Here is a 17,945-nt window from a genome sequence, read left to right on the forward strand (position 1 = left end):
TTTGATGCTATCATAAATGGGATTGTTTTCTTAATTTCTTTTTCAGATCTTTATCTTGTTCCTGATCTTAGAGAAGTTTTCAGGTTTTCACTGTTGACTATGATGTTGGCTGTGGCCTTGTCACATATAGCCTTTAGTATGTTGGTGTTCACTCCTTCTATACCTAAATTATTGGGAGTTTTTACATATGTAGGTTGAACCATCCTTGTATCCCAGGAATAGATCAAGGAATAGATTCCACTTGATCATGGACTGTGATCCTTTTAATATGCTGTTGAATATGGTTTGCTACTATTTTGATTAAGATATTTTGCATCTATGCTCATCAGGGATATTGGCCTATAATTTTTTTTGCAGTGCCCCTGTCTAGATTTGGTATTAGGGAAATGCTAGCCTGATAACATAAATTTGAAAATATTCCCTCCTCTTCAATTTTTTTTGGAAGAATTTGAGAAGAATTGGTAGTAGTTCTTGTTCAAGTGTTTGGTTGAATTTATCAGGAAGACATCTGGTCCTGAGATTTTCTTTGTTGGGAGATTTTTGATTATTGATTCAATTTTCTTACTCATTATTGATCTGTTCAAATATTCTGTTTCTTCATGCGTCTGTCTCTGTAGGTTGTATGTTTCTAGAAATTTATTCATTTCTTCTAGCTTATTTGATTTGATGGCGTATAACTGTTCATAGTAATCTCTTATTATCCATTGCATTTCTGTGGTATCAGTTGTAATATCTCCTCTTTTCTTTATAATTTTATTTATTTGAGTCTTTCTTTTTTCTTGGTAAGTTAAATAAAATCTTGTTGGTTTTGTTTATATTTTCAAAAACACAACTTTTAGTTTCATTGATCTTTTCTATTGTTTTTCTATTTTCTATTCCATTTATTTCTGCTCTGATCTTGTTATTTACTTCATTCTTATCTAGTTCTTTGGGGTTTAAAGTTAGATTTTAAAAAATATTCCTTTATTCTTAATGTATGCATTTGTTGCTACAAACTTCTTTTTTGAACTGCTTTTTCTGCCTCTTATGTTTTGGTAAGTTGTGTTTCCATTTTTGTTTCTCTCAAGACAGTTTTTAATTCCCTTTTGGTTTCTTCTTTGACCCATTGGTTGTTTGAGAGCGTTTGATATCCACATATTTGTTAATTTTTCAGTTTTCCTCCTGTTATTGATTTATAGCTTCTTACTACTTTGGTCAGAAAAGATACTTGATATGATTTCAATATTCTTAATTTTTTTGAGACTTATCTTGTGGCTTACATGTGATAGATCCTGGAGAATGTTCCCAGTATACTTGAGAAGAATGTATATTCTGTTTCTGGTGGTTGTCATGTGTGTATGTCTGCTAGGGCCATTTGGCCTAAAGTGCCATTCAAATCTAATACTTCCTTATTGATTTGCTGTCTGGATGATCTACCCATCATTGAAACTGGGATATTGAAGTCTCCTACTGTTATTGTATTGTTATTTATTTATCCCTTTATATCCGTTAATATTTGCTTTATGTAGTTATATGTTCCCATGTTTGGTACACATACATGCATAATTATTATATCATCCTGATAAATTGGCCTCTTTATTATTATTATATAATGACCTTCTTTTGTCTCCTTTTACAGTTTTTACTTAAATACTATTTTGTCTGATATAGATATCCCACTCTCTGTTTTCATTGGCATAGATATCATTTTCCATCCCTTCACTTGCAGCCTATTGTGTCCTTAAAGCTGCAGTAAGTTGCTGAGGCAGCTTATATTTGGGCCTTGTTTTTCTTATCTACTTAGCCTTTTTATATATTTTGATTAGAGAATTTAATCCATTTATATTTAAAGTAGTTGTCGATAGTTAAAGACTTACTATTCTAATTTTGTTCATTGTTTTCTGGCTATTTTGTAGTTTCTTCATTTCTTTCTTCTTCTTTTACTATATTCTTTTGTAATTTGATGATTTTCATGTCACAGTATGCTTTTTTTCCATTATGTTTTATGTATCTACTATAGGTTTATGATTTATGGCTATCATAAGGCTTACATAAAACATCTAACAGTTATAACAGTCTATTTTATGCTTAAAACAAGCTAACTTTGATCACATACAAAACTCTATATTTTACTTCGCTTTCCACATTTTATGCTTTTGATGTCATAAATTTCACATTTCTAAATTGTGTATTCATTAACAAATTATTGTAACTATAGGTTTTTTTAAATAATATTGTCCTTTCACTTTTTATTTTTTGATACAAAGTCTCAGTCTGTCTCCTGGGCTGGAGTGCAGTGGCACAATCATAGCTCACTGCAGCCTCAAACTCCTGTGCTCAGCCACCCATCCTTTAACTTTTATACTAGTTTAAAAGCAATTTACATACTGGTATTACAGTATTAGAGTATTCTGATTTTGACTACATACATACCTTTACCGGTGAGTTTTATATTTTCTTATGTATTCATGTTACTAATTGGTATACTGTCAGTTCAGCTTGAAGAACTCCCTTTTATTGTTTCGGGTCTAGTGGTGATAAACCCTCTGAGATATTGTCTGCGAAAGTTTTAATTTCTCCTTCATTTCTGAAGGACATCTTTTCTGGGTAAAGCATTCATCCTTGACAGGTTTTTTTTTTCTCTTTCAGCACTTTGAATATATCATCCAACTCTCTCTTGGCCTGCAAGGTTTGTACTGACAAATCTGATGCTAGCCTGTTGGAGAGTTCCTTGCATGTGACAAGTCTCCTTGCTCTTACTATTTTCAAAATTAATTGTTTTTTGTTTTTTGATAGTGTGATTATAATGTGTTCTCTTTACAATTAACCTGTTTAGAAATCTTTAAGCTTCATATAACTAAATGTATATATTTCATCCCCAAATTAGAAAAGTTTTGTCATCATTTTTTCAAATAAATTTCTGCTTCTTTCTCTTTCTCTTTTCCATCTAGAACTCACATAATATATATTAGTTCTTTTTATGATATTCCATTATCCTATAGACTATTTTTTTATTCTTCTTTGTTCTTTTTAATTTTTTTTCTCCTCTGACTGGATAATTTTAAGTGAACTGTCTTCAACTTCACAGATTCTTTTTTTGTAGCTTGATCAAGCCTGCTCTTTATGCTATTTATTGCATTTTTTATTTTATTCATTGTATTCTTCTGCTCCAGTATTTCTGTTAAGTTCTTTTTGCTTTATAAATTCTATCTCTTTGTTGAACTTATAATTTTGTTCATGTAGTTTCTTTATTTCCTTCAGTTTTTTATAAAAACTATTATTTTTAAGTCTTTATTAGGCTATTTGCAGATCTCCATTTCTTTGGGGTCAGCCACTGATTATTGCATTCCTTTTGTGATGCTATGGTTCCTTGATTTTTTTCATGTTTCTATTTTTTTTTTTTTTGATGGAGTCTCACTCTTGTCACCCAGGCTGGGGTGCAGTGTCATGATCTTGGCTCACTGCAACCTCCTCTTCCCGGGTTCAAGAGCTTCTCCTACCTCAGCCTCCCAAGTAGCTGGGATTACAGGTGCCCATGACCATGCCCAGCTAATTTTTGTATTTTTAGTAGAGATGGGGTTTCACCATGTCGGGCAGGCTGGTCTTGAACTCCTGACCTCAGGTGATCCACCCACGTCAGTCTCCCAAAGTGCTGGGATTACAGGTGTGAGCCACTGCACCCGGCCACTTTTTTTCATAATTCTTAAAGTCTTGTATTGCTGTATGCTCATTTAAAGAAGCAGTCATCTCCTCCAGTCTCTACTGACCAGGTTTTAGAAGAGAAACAACTTCCTCAGCCAATCTGCCTAGGAATTCTTAGGTTCTCTAAGATATTTTCTATGGGTGCACATGCTTCACACTTCTCCTCTTTTGGATGGTAGTTCTTAAGATTGTATTCCTTTTCTTGATGCTAAAAGATCATGCCAGGGTCTAAGAGTCTCCTGTTTGTTTTTCCTAAAGAAGTGTCCTGAAATGCTCAATTTTGTATGCATTCTCCAAATCCCACAGAGTCAATCTGGCTGCCTGTATGTGTCCACAAGATATCTGAAAAAGCTCACACTTGGCATCTGCAGGAGTGCATGCAGGGGGCTGGCCACAGGGGGAAGGCATGTGTGAGACACATAGAGCATTGGGAATCTTTGTGGGTCAGTTGGTGGGGTTGGCCGACTAGACATTCCAAGAGACTGGTGAGCAAGCTCCCTGATGGAGTCTGGGATCCACTGCCGTTTGTTGACTTCTGAGCCCTGGTTGCATTGAGAACCTGCCTCTCTTCCCTATTGCTAACCTCTCTCAATCACTCAGCCATGCCAATCCCCTCAGTATTCTGAGTGGAGCAAGAAATAAATGGGTCTTTGGGCACAGTGTCCTGCAGAACTGAGGAAGCTAGATGCTTACTCACTGCACTCTAACTTTCCTCCCCAGGAAAAACTGCAGGCCAAGGGGGTGTCTCTTAACACTGATCTGTGCAGCCTTGGGAGAGGTGATACAGATAAAGTAAAACTGTTTTTCTTATGCTCTTTAATATATCTATTCTTGGAGTTTTTTGCTTCAATAGTGTGCTAAACTTCTCCACTGGACTCCTATACTCCCACAAATGTGCTCTTTTTCATGAATGGTTATCAAAAATCTTTCTATACGAAGATAACAGAGAAAACTTATATTTCACCATTTTGCTGACATTCTTCCACTTAAAGAAGCCAATTTTATCCTCACAACAGTCTTATGAGGTAAGCACCATTATTTTTCTCATTTTCCAGAGAAGAAACCTGGTTCAGACATGGTAAGTTATTTGTTAAACATCAAATACCCAGAAAGAGGTGAAGCTGGAATTAGAACCTATGCATGTGTCGCTACAAGCCCTGTGCAGCTTGAGATTCAGCAATAGCCTTGATTCTGGCCATTCAGCCAATCAATAGACTTAGGCTTGATTTCTTTCAGAACCGAGTTCTTCCATATGATATACAGGTAGAGGAGTTCGGCCTATCAATATTTCAAGGTACTTAATGTCCTAGAAATATTCAAATGTTGTTGACACATTGAAACGTGTTTAAGCATGTTTCAGTGGGGAACTAAAACCTCATAAGAGCATTACTTTCTCATTGCCAACCTCAGTGTTAGCCCTTAACTGCATTTAGCTGTCCAGTGCCAATAGACATAAAAGCTCAAAAAGATTTCAGCAGCAGAAACCTCCCTCTTCCCCAGGTGCCTACCCTCAGGTTAATGGAAAACAAATTTTTAAACTGGCATTTTCAAGGACTTCTCTGCTTGATTTGCTATTTGAAATATCAAAATATTGTAAACTTTCAAAGGTTGCTTTTCTGATGACAAGCACAGAGATTAATGGATTTTTTTTTTTACTTTTTTTTGTTGTTGTTTGAGATCTAAAGGGTATTTTACATCCCTGAGAAATTCCAAGTTGCCCTCCAAGCTCTTATCTGACATCTAACCAATCTTTGAGTTTGACTAGGCTTATCCAGGATATAACTATAGATTGTTCATTGTCAGAGGAAATATTTTTGCCCCCAGAAGTATATATGTATGTCTCTCAGAGGATGCTAGAGCATAAATGATCAATCAGAGAGAACTGTGTGCTCATTCACAAATGCCAGTGCATACTTTTTCTCTAGCTGACTGCCAGGTTTCTCTCAAAGTTAAAGAAGAAAGGAAAGTTATAAGTTCTTACCTTACTTGGAGCGTGGCTAAACAGGGGTCATAAAAATATACTGATAAATTAATACCAAATTTCCAAATATCTGTGATATTCTTGTTTATGTTCTTGAATTATTATTAATGGTATGCATGGCTTAATTTCCTATGGAGTATAAAAGCATAATTGTTTTTATCATAGGGTCATAATTATCCATTGTCACATTGCCTTAGTTTATCAGATTAGCTCTTATCACACCTAGGAGATAATAAAGTAAGAAATGTTAACAAGACTAGGAAAATTGTGTTTGCTTATTCTAAGATGAAAGGAGAAAAGAAATGTTCATTACCTTGAGTATTTTCCAAGTGGACTCTTGCAGATGGTGCTCATAATTGGGAGACACTGGAAAGTTAGATATATTGAAGAGACTAAGGAATATAATACAGGTAAATCCTGTAGCACAGTGCTTAACTGTGGTAGGTCTTGGTAATTAATTGTTTTCTTTTTGGCTATACATAGAAAATATTTGCCAGAGCTGAGCCGGTTTGATCTGGCTTGTCCCAGGGAAGATAATTGTCAAGAGAGTTCTAAAGATGCCCTTACATTGATGCCATGTTGCTTCCCTCCCAGGAGGTGTGCAGAACCACTTAGGGCCATATAGTTTTCTCCTAGACTATGTAACCTACAAGGAGATTCCATTAAGGGGTACTTCTTAGACCTTCTAAGCTCCAAAAGGTCAAGGACAAAGTCTCTTTTTGCTCGCCATTGCATCTTCTACAGCACCTGGCCCAAAATAGGTGCTCAAAAATATTTTTTCAATATAAGAATGCTGAGTATGGACAAATCATATTGAACTGAACTTCTGGATCAGATGTCACAAGATAAACTATGTGCTTCATTGTCATGTGCAGGGGAAATTTATGTTTGGGTTCTGGGACAGTCTCATTCTTCTTCAATTAAATGGCAAGAAAGCATACCACTCATTCCTAGTTCTTAGGAGACCAAGAGTTCCCTTCAAAAAGGAGCTCTCCTTAGTGGTGTTTACCGAGAATTCCACTGATATCATGCTTGATAAGACTCTCTGACAGCAGAGCTTCAAGAGATCTGACCATAAAATCCTCCAAAATATGCAGATATTAAGCCCCTGACTCATTCAGGCAGTGGAAGCGTAATTTCCACCATCTTGACTCTTCCTCTCCTCCCTAACCTAGGGAAGGTTTGAGGAGTTGACTGGGAGTAAGTAATTTGAAGCTATTGATAGCATGGAAGGGAGAGGGAAGAGAGGCATCTGGTTCTATTATTTTCTGTCCATGCAGAAATTCTCTTAGACACAAGCCACCTTCCGCTTTTTGGCCATTGTTCCACATAGGTCTCGATTTTCCCTTTGGCTCATGCCTCCTTCAGGTTGGGTGGCTCTCAGGCTACTTGAGACATGCTTAACATTGTGAGATTTATTTTACTTCTTCCATGACACTGGGGCATGGTTATCTCTGCTAGCCTGTTTCAGGCCCTTCTTTGAGTTATCCAAATCCTCCCCTCTGTGTCCTCCTTGACCCTCACTTCCATTCCTAGCCCAAGGAAATTTTACCTAATCTAAGGAGAAGCTGACTCAATGCACTTTTTTTTTTTTTTATAACATTTTGTCTTCTCCGTGTTTCTCCCACATCCTAAAGGCTTAGTCCCTTAAAAGAAAAACCTGGAAGACATTCACTTTTCTTCTCTGCTTTCCACTCTTTCATTTCCTCTCTTCTATGGCTCCTTTTGGAGCAGAGAAAACCTAGCTTCTCGAATGAGGTGGGGTGATGTGTTTAGGGTGGGTAGGGGGAAAATAGAGGGAAATTGTGGTAGATATTTTTTTGAGAAGATGGCCACAATAAACCTTTCCATCCCTTTGCCCTGTCCCCCTGCAATGTGACTGCTGCTCCCTCAACAAGAGGTAGAATCTATTTCCCAACCCCTCTTGGATCTGGGCTAACCCTTTGTTTTACTTTGACCAACAAAATGTAGAGGAATTGATATTGTGTGATTCTCAAGGCTAGACCTCAAAAGTCCTTTCAGCTTTCACTTTCATTCTCTTGGCATGCAGTGGCATGATGTGAAAAAAACCAAGCTAGTCTCCCTGAAGAAGAGAGAATGAGTGAAGAGAGAAACTCAGCTGATGGCCAGCACCAACCGCCTGACATGGGGTGAGGTCATCTTGGACTTCAGCCCAGTTAAGCCACAAAATCACTGAAGATGCATGAGCTCACCTCAGGCAAGACCAGCAGAAAAACCCATTGCTGAGCCCAGCCTATAAGGCTTACCCACAGGATTATGAGAACACAAAATTACAGTTATTTAGGCCGCTAAGTTGTTGCACAATTTTTTATGAGGCAAGATACTTGATAGAGACATAAACACCAGGAAGAAAAACATTGGGTAATGTCTCAATGTATTATTACAGTACAGCTATGCCTTAAATTTTACTTCCAGAGATTTTAGCATTTTCTAATGTCACACTTATGGATTATATGTTAGGAAAGTTTACAACATTTAGAATTGGGGTTTCCCCAAGGACAGTGGGGAAAAAGGCAGAGGGTGGAAATGGCAGGGATGACATAGAAGTAGCAATAGTTTCTGAGAAGTGTAGGGAATAATGGTCAACTCAGCAAGAATATAACTGATATGCCTAGTATATGCCCATGTCCATGGTACTGGGATGCCAAAATAATCCCATTCATCAAAAATTTATAATCTACTTGCTGGTAGGGTGACAAATATTAAAACCAGTTTTCCTTCAAAACCAGAGTTACATCTTCTCAACTAATTGTGTATGTATGTTTCATGTTGAGAACATGTCCCTAGGGGTCTGCCTGACAGGGCACACACTGCCTCTTCTATCACTTTTGGTATATTACTGTAGCTCCCAGAGAAAGAGCTATCATCAGGAAGCATTTATAATACGTTCGTTGAAATATACCCAATAATTTACTTTCTGTGTAACTTCTATTGATCATGAAAACTCTTATGTGATCTGTTTGTTAGGTCTGGGCTTCCTTGATGATATTGATCAAGTAGATTCCTTTGTGAAAACCTACATTGATTAGTTTCCTGACAAGCTGTTAAGGCCACTTGCAAAGCTGTCACTGGTGATACTTGCAGTCGGAAGAGTGGGGCTCACCCATAATGTCTTTCTGAAGGAAGATTGAATGGAAGATAGATGAATGCAGACAACATTCTCTGTGCTGGGTAACCACTCAGTGATTCATCTCCCAGCTCCTTTTTCTATGGGGAGAAAATTAATATCCAGGCAGTGAACAATCTCTACAACAACCATGATTTGCAGGTTTGCTGAAAAATCCACATGAAACACAGAAGGCTAAGGGGAGACAGGTCTGGTCATTTTTAGCTGCCTTGTTCAAGCATACCTTTGGCAAAGCCATGCTCCTCTGCTCCTCCTCAGAATGGCAACTGCTCAAAACCCCACAAACAGCACTTAAAATCTGGATGGAAGACAATAAATATGCTTTGTCATCAGAAATTCAATGTGAACATGGGAAGGGTTAGAACAATAGGCCTCAGTGCTTTTTGACAAAAGAACACCAGATCACAAGCACAATGGACAGTTGGCAATGCTCATTTCTTTACAACTGAAATTAATTAATAACTTGTGCACTCAAAAGAGAACAAGAAGCTATATTTAAGTGCTGCATGTTACAAGAGCTAAGCAAGGGTCTCTAGTGTTGAAGGACAGAGGGAGGAAGAGGGTAGCTGGTAAAAGAGTCTGACTCTAGCTGGAGCAGCTGTTCCCAAAGCATGTGCTTTAGAACTTATTCCCCTGAAATGGTCTTCAACAGGGTTCCATGACTGACTAGGTTCAACAAACGTTGGAATTCCTATTAGTTTATCTGAGAAATCCCAGATAAAAGAAGTCTTCTTGGCTTACATGGGGTAGATATTGGTTAAGCTAGTTGTCCCTTGGGTCTAGTTGATAGAATTATTAATTCAGTCAGTGATCATTTCATTAACTCTGTGTTAACATAGTTTAGGTTGCTCACCTAAAAAGAATGACTGAGGCCCTAATTCTGTCACTCACTAACAATGTGACCTCGGGCAAGTTAGGTACTCACTCTGAGCCTCTGTTTTGAGGATTAAATAAGAGAATATGTGTATAAGTGATTATTCACCTGAAGATAATAGATTAACATTGATTATTAATTCTAAAAATGAACTTGTGCTTTCAAAGATGCTATTTTAGTATGTAGAATATTCCTGTTATTAAGGCAATGCCTCTATCTTTAAGGACGGAGCAATTGTATAAGCTAGGATGCTTAACCAATGATGGGACAAAGAAACAAAAAACAGATTGCACATCTAAGTAAAAACTGAAAGTATTACAGAAAGGGATTATTTTCTTGTTGATACCCAGTGGACAATAGATACAGCAAAAATGAAGTCAGAGCTGTTGAGTTAGTGGTTTTGTTTTTATCATGGGCTTGTTGACTGCTATAATAGAGGAGACCATGGGAACACTTAATCTTCACCTAATAGGCAAGAGGCCTGAAATTTTCTTCTATAGGTCTGTAGAGTTTTGTCTGACAGCAGCCATTCTGAACTTTGCCTTCTGTTACACAAACACCAGAGGCAGAAAGACAAAAAAGCAAACATTATTTCCCAATGGGATCCTCATCTGGGAAAGCAGTAACTTTTTCTTTTTTTTTTTCAAAAAGAAGGTAATCATACAAATCAATAATTTCTATGATAAATTATCATAGAGAATTGAGACTAGTAGTTAAATTCCAAATTTGTAAAAACTATAAAATAATTTTACAATCCCTATGTATTACATAAACCTCCTACTACTGTCCTGGGTGGGATCCGATAAAAAGGCATCTCTGTGTCCACTCCATAGCTGACAAATCTATGATTAGTAGTTATTTATCCAAGGTCACATAGATGGTACCAGAACACTCAACTCAAACCTGTGTCATGGACCCACCAAGTCTAGTCCTTTTATTAATCTCTAAAAAGTATAGCAATAACTCAAATTCAGAAGGCAGCAGAAGGAAGAGAGGTTAAAAATTTGCTCTGAAACTGTTGGGTTAGAGCCATCTTAACCCTCAGTGGGTTAAGTGATAGATGAGTCACCAGGGAAATGGGTGCAAGGGAGAATCTATCTCAGGAGAAATAAAGGTAAAGTCACCACAATCCAAGACTAATAGCTCTAGGATTCTCCTCTTCCAATTTGGACCTAACAGCCTCTCCCTTTCCTGAATTTTCCCAGCTCTCGCCCAAATTGACTATGAGCAGAACACTGCAACAGACTGTTCTCTGTACATGTGTGCAGCTCCCAAAATATCTGACATCACAGTTTTCAAATAGAGAAATAACAGTTTTACTTGTCTACTTGTTTTATTTTTAAAAATCTTTTTGTCAGATGAAATCTTTTGTCAAGTTACAAAATTGACATGTGTCTACCACAATCCTTAAAACCAGTGAAATAATATAAAACTATGTAAAGAAAATGTTAATCATACTTCTACCCCCAACAAGAGTAAATAATATGGCAGTCTGGTGTCTTTCTACTTAAACTTTTTTATTTTTTGTTTTGTTTTATTGAGGCAGAGTTTCACTCTGTCTCCCAGGCTGGACTGCAGTGGCGGGATCTCGGCTCACTGCAACTTCCGCCCCCTGGGTTCAAGCAATTCTCCTGCCTCAGCCTCCCGAGTAGCTGGGATTACAGACGCCCACCACTGCACCCAGATAATTTTTGTGTTTTTAGTGGAGACAGGGTTTCACCATGATGGCCAGGCTGATCTTGAACTCCTGACCTCAAGTTAATCCCAAAGTGCTGGGATTACAGGCATGAGCCACCACTCCCAGACACATCTTTTCACATTAAAAAAAAATTGAAATAAGGGATTTGGAGTTGTTATTGCCATTTGATGCCTTTCTCACATGACAATGCATTATCAACAGTCCTCCAGGTCAATAGAGAGAGGCTTATCCATTTCAGGAAACATTTAATGTTCCATAAGAGGATTATACCAGACTTTATTCAGTATCTCCCTCATTAATGTACATCCATGTGTGTGTGTGTGTTTGTACTTGCCTTGACAAATAATGTGATAAACATCCTTGTTTATTAAAGTCCAGCTGTTGTTTCATTAGGATAGATTCCTATAAGAGAGTTTTCTGCGACAAAAGCTATGGATATATCTTAAATTTAAGATATGTTGCCACATTACCAAAATAAAACCCAGGAGGATTAAAGATTTAAATTTTATACATAAAGTAATAAAATCTTAGCTACACAGAAGGGCTACCACCAGCTACTTGAAGCCTCTGATTATAAATCCTAAGTAAATGTGAATCCATATGAAAACAAAGATGAAATTCTATCCTTGAACTAAAATTAGACTTTCAGATGAGTTAGGGAGATTGGGGGAGGGAGAGAGAGAAAAAGGAGCCCACAAAACCTCAGGCATTCTACTTTAATTATGACCCAGTAGAACACCAAGATGCAACGAAGTACCATCATTTTGGGTTTCTGGGATGAAGTACCAAAAAACTTAGATTTATTCTCATTCAAATTTTGCTATATTCCTATAAATCAGCAGATCTAGTGTGGTTATCTGGTCTGGTGGTCCCAAAAGCTGTGTCTGAGGAACAGTCAATGGCCTTGTTCAGTTATCTACAAGGACTTTGTTATTCAGAGTAAGATTTCCAAAGTGAGGGAGAATCTGAGTCATTCTAACTTATAGAGAAAAGTCTAAAACCCTGTATGGGGAAAACAGAAAGGAGAAAAAAGTGACCAAGCAGATGAGAAACCAGAAAAGAATTGAAAAACAACAAAAAACATGCTGTTTTTGCTGGAGAGTGATCAACATGACTTGCTGAGTTTTCTACAAAACCTTCAGAATACTCTACTTTATTTGCTATTCTTTAGAGTCTGACCTGTATTGGAAGAAGGGCAGGAGATGGTGGGAGAAATAGGAAGAAGTACCCACTCTCGTCTCAGGGTGGGCAGGAGCTTCCCAAGGGAGACTATCACATTTGGCCAGAGTTTGAAGTGTGGCTCACAAGTTGGATTAAAACTGAAACCACATTCCAATCTTAAACCCCTAAACCTCTCAATTAATCATAGTTTACAAAGAATCTAAAGAGAGGAAATTTTTAACCAACTGATCAAAGCAGCACTCAGAATGGAACCACTGATTGAATATTGACCTCAGCAGGCACTGTAATTGCATCTTATTGGCAAATCATTACTAGTTTATCTTAGTGATAGAAAGCACAGATTGAAAGTAGAGAAGCACTTACTTCTCGGGTCAAGTGAATAATTAGCAGGGAAAAATCTCTCTGGCCTTTTAAAACATGGCAGAAGTGTTAGGTAAGGGGGTGAGGACTTCCTTGCTGGGAAGATTAGAGGTCAGTTTAGCCGGCCTCCCTGTAACTGTGATAACAGTATCTCCACTACCATCTGAGTCCTCACCCTCTCTTCAAAAATACAATTCTAGTCACATCCTCCACAACAAAACTTCCTTGACATCCCTGACCCTCATCCACCCCCGTCTCCCTCTATATTGTTCCAGCACATTACAGTGTACTGGTCAGGTTCACGCTATGCAAAATATTCACTTTTAATCTTCACAACCACTCAGTGAAGTGCGTATTAATAATATCACCACTCTATCACTGTTTCTGTGCTGTTTGGCTAAGATCAAGTGGCATAATACAACTACCCTAGAGATGAAGAAATTAGTGCATAGAGTTGGCTAAAATTAAAAATAAATGTAATAAAAATAAATATATAGAGAAGTTCAAATACACCTTATAACCCCAGTACGTAAAGATGCACTTTCTAAGAAGTATGCAGTAAACTTTGCCATCTACTTCTTATAAAAATTGGCAAACTTTTTCTATAAAGGGTCAGATAGTAAATATTTTAGGCTTTGCAGATCAAAGAGTCTCTGTCATAACTAATCAACTCTGTTGCTGTAGGGCAAAAGGAACCCTAGACAATAATGAAATGAATGGGCATGGCTGCATTCTAATAAAACTTCATTTGCAAAATCAGGCGAGAGGCCAGATGGGACCCATAGCCATAGCTTGCTGACTGTGTTTTAGATAATAGACTCCTTCCAGGCTCAGCATTATTTCCAACAGGTATAAATGCAATCTCTAGTAAATGCAATCTGATTCCAGAATGTAAGTTGGTCATGACCTTCTATAGGAAACAAGACCATCTTCTGCTCCTCCCCCAAGCATTAACTAGCTCTGCTAGATGATTGTTCAGCCACAGCTCAAACATCTCTAGTAACAGAAAGCTCATGCCTGCACAATTTACTCATTTTCATTAAGGGACAGATGAAGATTTGGAGCACTTTTGTATTAAGATTTCTGTTTGTTTGACTCATATAACACTAAATTTATAACTTTCCAAATATTGAAATCTTAATAAAGTGAACACCTTCTGTCCAAGAAGGCACTTGAAAATTTTTTTCTACTGAGCAGGCTTGTGTGGGGTATCCTAAAAATATTCATACCTGTGAACATATGAACGTTCAGACTTTAAAAAACTCTCACCCAGCTAGAAGGATTAGTAACACTGATTTTATTTGCATTGCTCCAGTGAAAAAGCATGTATGAAATACATATGCATGCATATGGCAGGTATGCCTACTCAGACTATTTTTTCTATTGTTTCCTTAGAATAAGAATAATAACCAGAGAAATTAAGTTTACCTTGAATTTCCACAGATGGTAAAGTTTCCTACAACAACACCTACCCATCTTTCTTTTTATCCAAATAGTCCCTCAACACATATTTATAAGCATCTACATTGTGCTTGATTCTGAGAAAGAAACAAATACACATACATATTATAGTGTGACCTTAACATCTAGTTGGAGAGACAAAGCATAAAGTTGCAAAAATTTTCAAACCTGCATATGGCCTCTTGGTCCCATGCCAGTCAGAGCACTTCTGAGAACTTTTGCTGAAACTCAAGTGCTAATCAGCTCTTAGAAATGTTACTAGTGTAAAAGGCTGTATGATGAATATATTTTTATTTTGGCCAAACATAATAATGATGATTTGCATTTATATATTGCTTTGTAAACTTTTAAGTCACTTTAATTTGTATTATTTTTATATATCCTCCTTGTAGAAAAGAGATATGGTAAGCAATATTATCCCCGCTTTATAGATCGGGAAACAGAGATCCAAAAGGGTGTTTTTGCCCAAGGATGCAAGGTAAGTAAATGGTAGTACTGTAACTAAAACATATCACCTGATCTCTAACTATTAGCCATTCCCATTAGACAAAGCTATCTCTCTCCTGACAATATAGATTAAACATTTATGAATGCTGCTGGAGTTCCAATAATACAGGCTTGGGTTCTAATCAAGGCTGGAAAGAACAGGAAGTCTCTCAAGCTAGCTCAAATGAAAGATGGAATGTATGTAAAAGAACCACTTGGAGCAGAAAAGCCATAGGGGCATACAGGTTTTATAGACATGAAAATTCTCAGTAATAGAAGAATCTCGCTTCATCTCTCAGGGTGGCCTCTCCCATTTCTGCTTCTTGGTCTCCTCTATCTCTCACCCGCCAGCTACTTCTTAAAAATGGCCTGACCTGGCCACCAGCCACTGACCTGAATCTAGAGGCTCTGCTGCCCAGGCTCTCCTTCTATGACAATTGCCTCTAATTATCCTCGTTCAATTACTGGGACAGATAACCTGGAACTTCACCAAGTCTTTCATGGTGAAGGGTTGAGCGTGAGGTTTATCCTGCATGTCCTTACAGAGGCTGCAGGCAGGTTCAGCAAATTGACCTTCTTCATGGGTTTATTGAAAAAAGTAAATGAAATGTTCCAACTAAGGCACTTACAGCAAGAATAACAATAGCCTGAGACATAGCAAAAGGCCAATAAGTAATTACTCCAGTCAAGTTGCACCAAATATTTATTTTACTTACATGAATTCAACCATGAGAATCTTGCACTGGAATGGAGTTGTCCAGGGAACACAGAGGCAGACTATAACAAAGATGGAAGAGTCTCGTTAATCACTCCAAGAAAACAGCTGGTAATAGCCAAACCCCTTTTAAAATTCACCCCTCCCACCCCCTCCCCCGACCTCAACAGGAATAACTGAAAGTAATTAAGAGTGGATGGTAAAATAGAAAGGAGATTCAGGGTATGTGTGGCTGTAAAAGTTGGGTTAATGGCCACAGATGTGAAGCTCTCTGCTTCTTCCACCTCCTCTTGATTTCTCCATGCCTGTGTTGACCCATCCTTATTGGATATCAAAGAAAGAGCTCTAACTTTTAACCACTTCCTAGTGCCTGGCACACATTTAAAATAAGTGTATATTCAATGAAAAACAATGAAATGAATGAATGGACAAACAAAAGAGAAGTCCAGGGCTCTCTGCCATCATTGTATAGGATGCCTGCAGGAAACTTTCAGAGTCATTCTGACTTTAGAAAACCTGAAAATATGAGGGAGTTGACACCCCACAAGGCCACCCTTATCCAATGAGGGACAGAAGCTGGTGGGAAGATAAACCTCCCCTCTGAGGTGCATTCCTCATGGCTCCTCTGTGCATCTCTAAGGGATCCACTCCAGTTGTTCACAACAGTGAAGAGCTTGATAATCAGCTTTACTTAGCTTTTCCTCCTTTCCTTCCACTCCAAAAATGCCCCACTCTTGTTCTTTGAGAACACTTCCCAAAATAAACCAACTGCATGGAAACAACTGTGCTAGGCTCTGTTTTTGTTTGTTTGATTGAGGCTTTTTTTTTGTGGGGGGCATTATAGGGGGGAAGGGGATGGGATGTATATCACACTAATGAAATTATTTGCTTGAATTTTCTCCTCTCAGTATATACTCTCCCTGGGTATTTCATTCTCTCCTGTGGATTTACCACCAGCTACATTCCATTGATTTCCAAATCTATAGCTGTAGCCAAGACCTCCTTGCTGAGTCTTAGACAAGTCAACTAGGTTTTACATAAGAAATTTGACTTTAATATGTGTAAAAGTGAATGTTCCAACTCACCACCTACTGTCTTCCTTCTGCTATAGTACACATTTCTATCCAAGGTATCATCATAAAGCTTATTATTTGGATTAAAAAATGCATACATGCTTGTATTTTCATTCTCCCCTGTATTGACTGTATGTTCCAGCAGTGAGCTCAGGCTAGAGGGAGGAAATGAGTTGCAATTGCAATAGACAAGTCTACGGTTCCAGTACTTGAAAAAGAGAGCACAAGCATATTTGAGATAGATTTGGGGAATAAATGTTCCTGCAAATGGGCAGAACAAAGAAGACTTAGAGTACTTACACAGTTTTTTCCTACTCACATAGCAAGATCATGGTTGAGAAAGTTTGGAATCCTGGATTGCTGACTACTCTCTGGTCCAATATTCTTTTTACTATACAATTCTCTTTTGTCCTGAATTTTTATAAGTTTTTTTCCTAGAAATTTTAGAAGAAGCTCAAGGTAGCTAGGAAGCTACCCTTTTGGAGTAGCAATTATATCAAAGTACAATCCAGTTAAAACCCATTAGATTGAAAAAAAGCTGGTCAAGGAAGCAGAGAGCAGGACCCATCATATCTGCAGAATGGAGCTATGAACTAAACCGTTTACAGACCCTCGTGAAAACCAACTGTAATTCTTGCCCTTGAGCTCCAAAAGATGCCCTCATATCCTACCAATACTGTTTATGTCCTTTCTTTGGAATCAGAGCTGAAATCAAAGAGGCCTCTTAAATCCTGACCTAGTATATTTCAAAATGCCATAGTTTCTTTTTATGACATTCAAATTAAATCCCTAAATTGAAAGTTTTGTAAGGTGCTAATTACAGCTAGACACTTATTATTTTGTTTGTATGAATTTATCTAACTTGTGGCCCATAAAATTATCCTGTATATGGATATCAAAGGGCAAATATTAATCTTTGAGTACATATAACAATAATGAATATATAATAGACATCTCCTACATAATAAATATGTTGAAATGTATAAGGTGTGCTGCTCATATGAATCTAACAACTTTTCAATTATTTCATGGAAATCCTAATAATGAGAGAGTTAAATTATTTGAGTTGAGATTTTTTTCCAGTTGGTCTATTTATCTTTTTCAGAATAGGGTACACATCTTCCAACCCCTCTAATGTTTATAAAAATCATCCAGTAACATATTGGATTACATTCTTTCTTATAACACCTTTGGACAACTTTCAACTTGGGCTGTTTTAGCTAAAATGCAGCTTAAGTTATTTTAATAGAGAAGGGTAACTTGCCATTGGAGCAGTTAACTGTTA

General features: G+C 37.5%; 1 long non-coding RNA gene across 9 annotated transcripts in view; it reads right to left on the minus strand.

Annotated features, from left to right (window-relative positions):
* The window catches only part of LINC02911 (long intergenic non-protein coding RNA 2911), a 73,031-nt gene that overhangs the window by 37,293 nt on the left and 17,793 nt on the right, over positions 1–17,945 (minus strand). For 4 of the 9 annotated variants that reach the window (XR_007065210.1, XR_007065208.1, XR_004837541.2 and 1 more), the window contains 3 exons: positions 15,589–15,649; positions 9,034–9,108; positions 5,976–6,028 (listed from right to left, as the gene is read on the minus strand). This is a non-coding gene — a long non-coding RNA (long intergenic non-protein coding RNA 2911). The remainder of the gene's footprint in view (positions 1–5,975; positions 6,029–9,033; positions 9,109–15,588; positions 15,650–17,945) is intronic. The other 5 variants (XR_007065207.1, XR_004837540.2, XR_004837539.2 and 2 more) reach the window with 2 other exon arrangements.

The sequence above is a fragment of the Homo sapiens genome, chromosome 16 (genome assembly GCF_000001405.40).
Source record: "Homo sapiens chromosome 16, GRCh38.p14 Primary Assembly".
Classification (NCBI taxonomy): domain Eukaryota; kingdom Metazoa; phylum Chordata; class Mammalia; order Primates; family Hominidae; genus Homo; species Homo sapiens.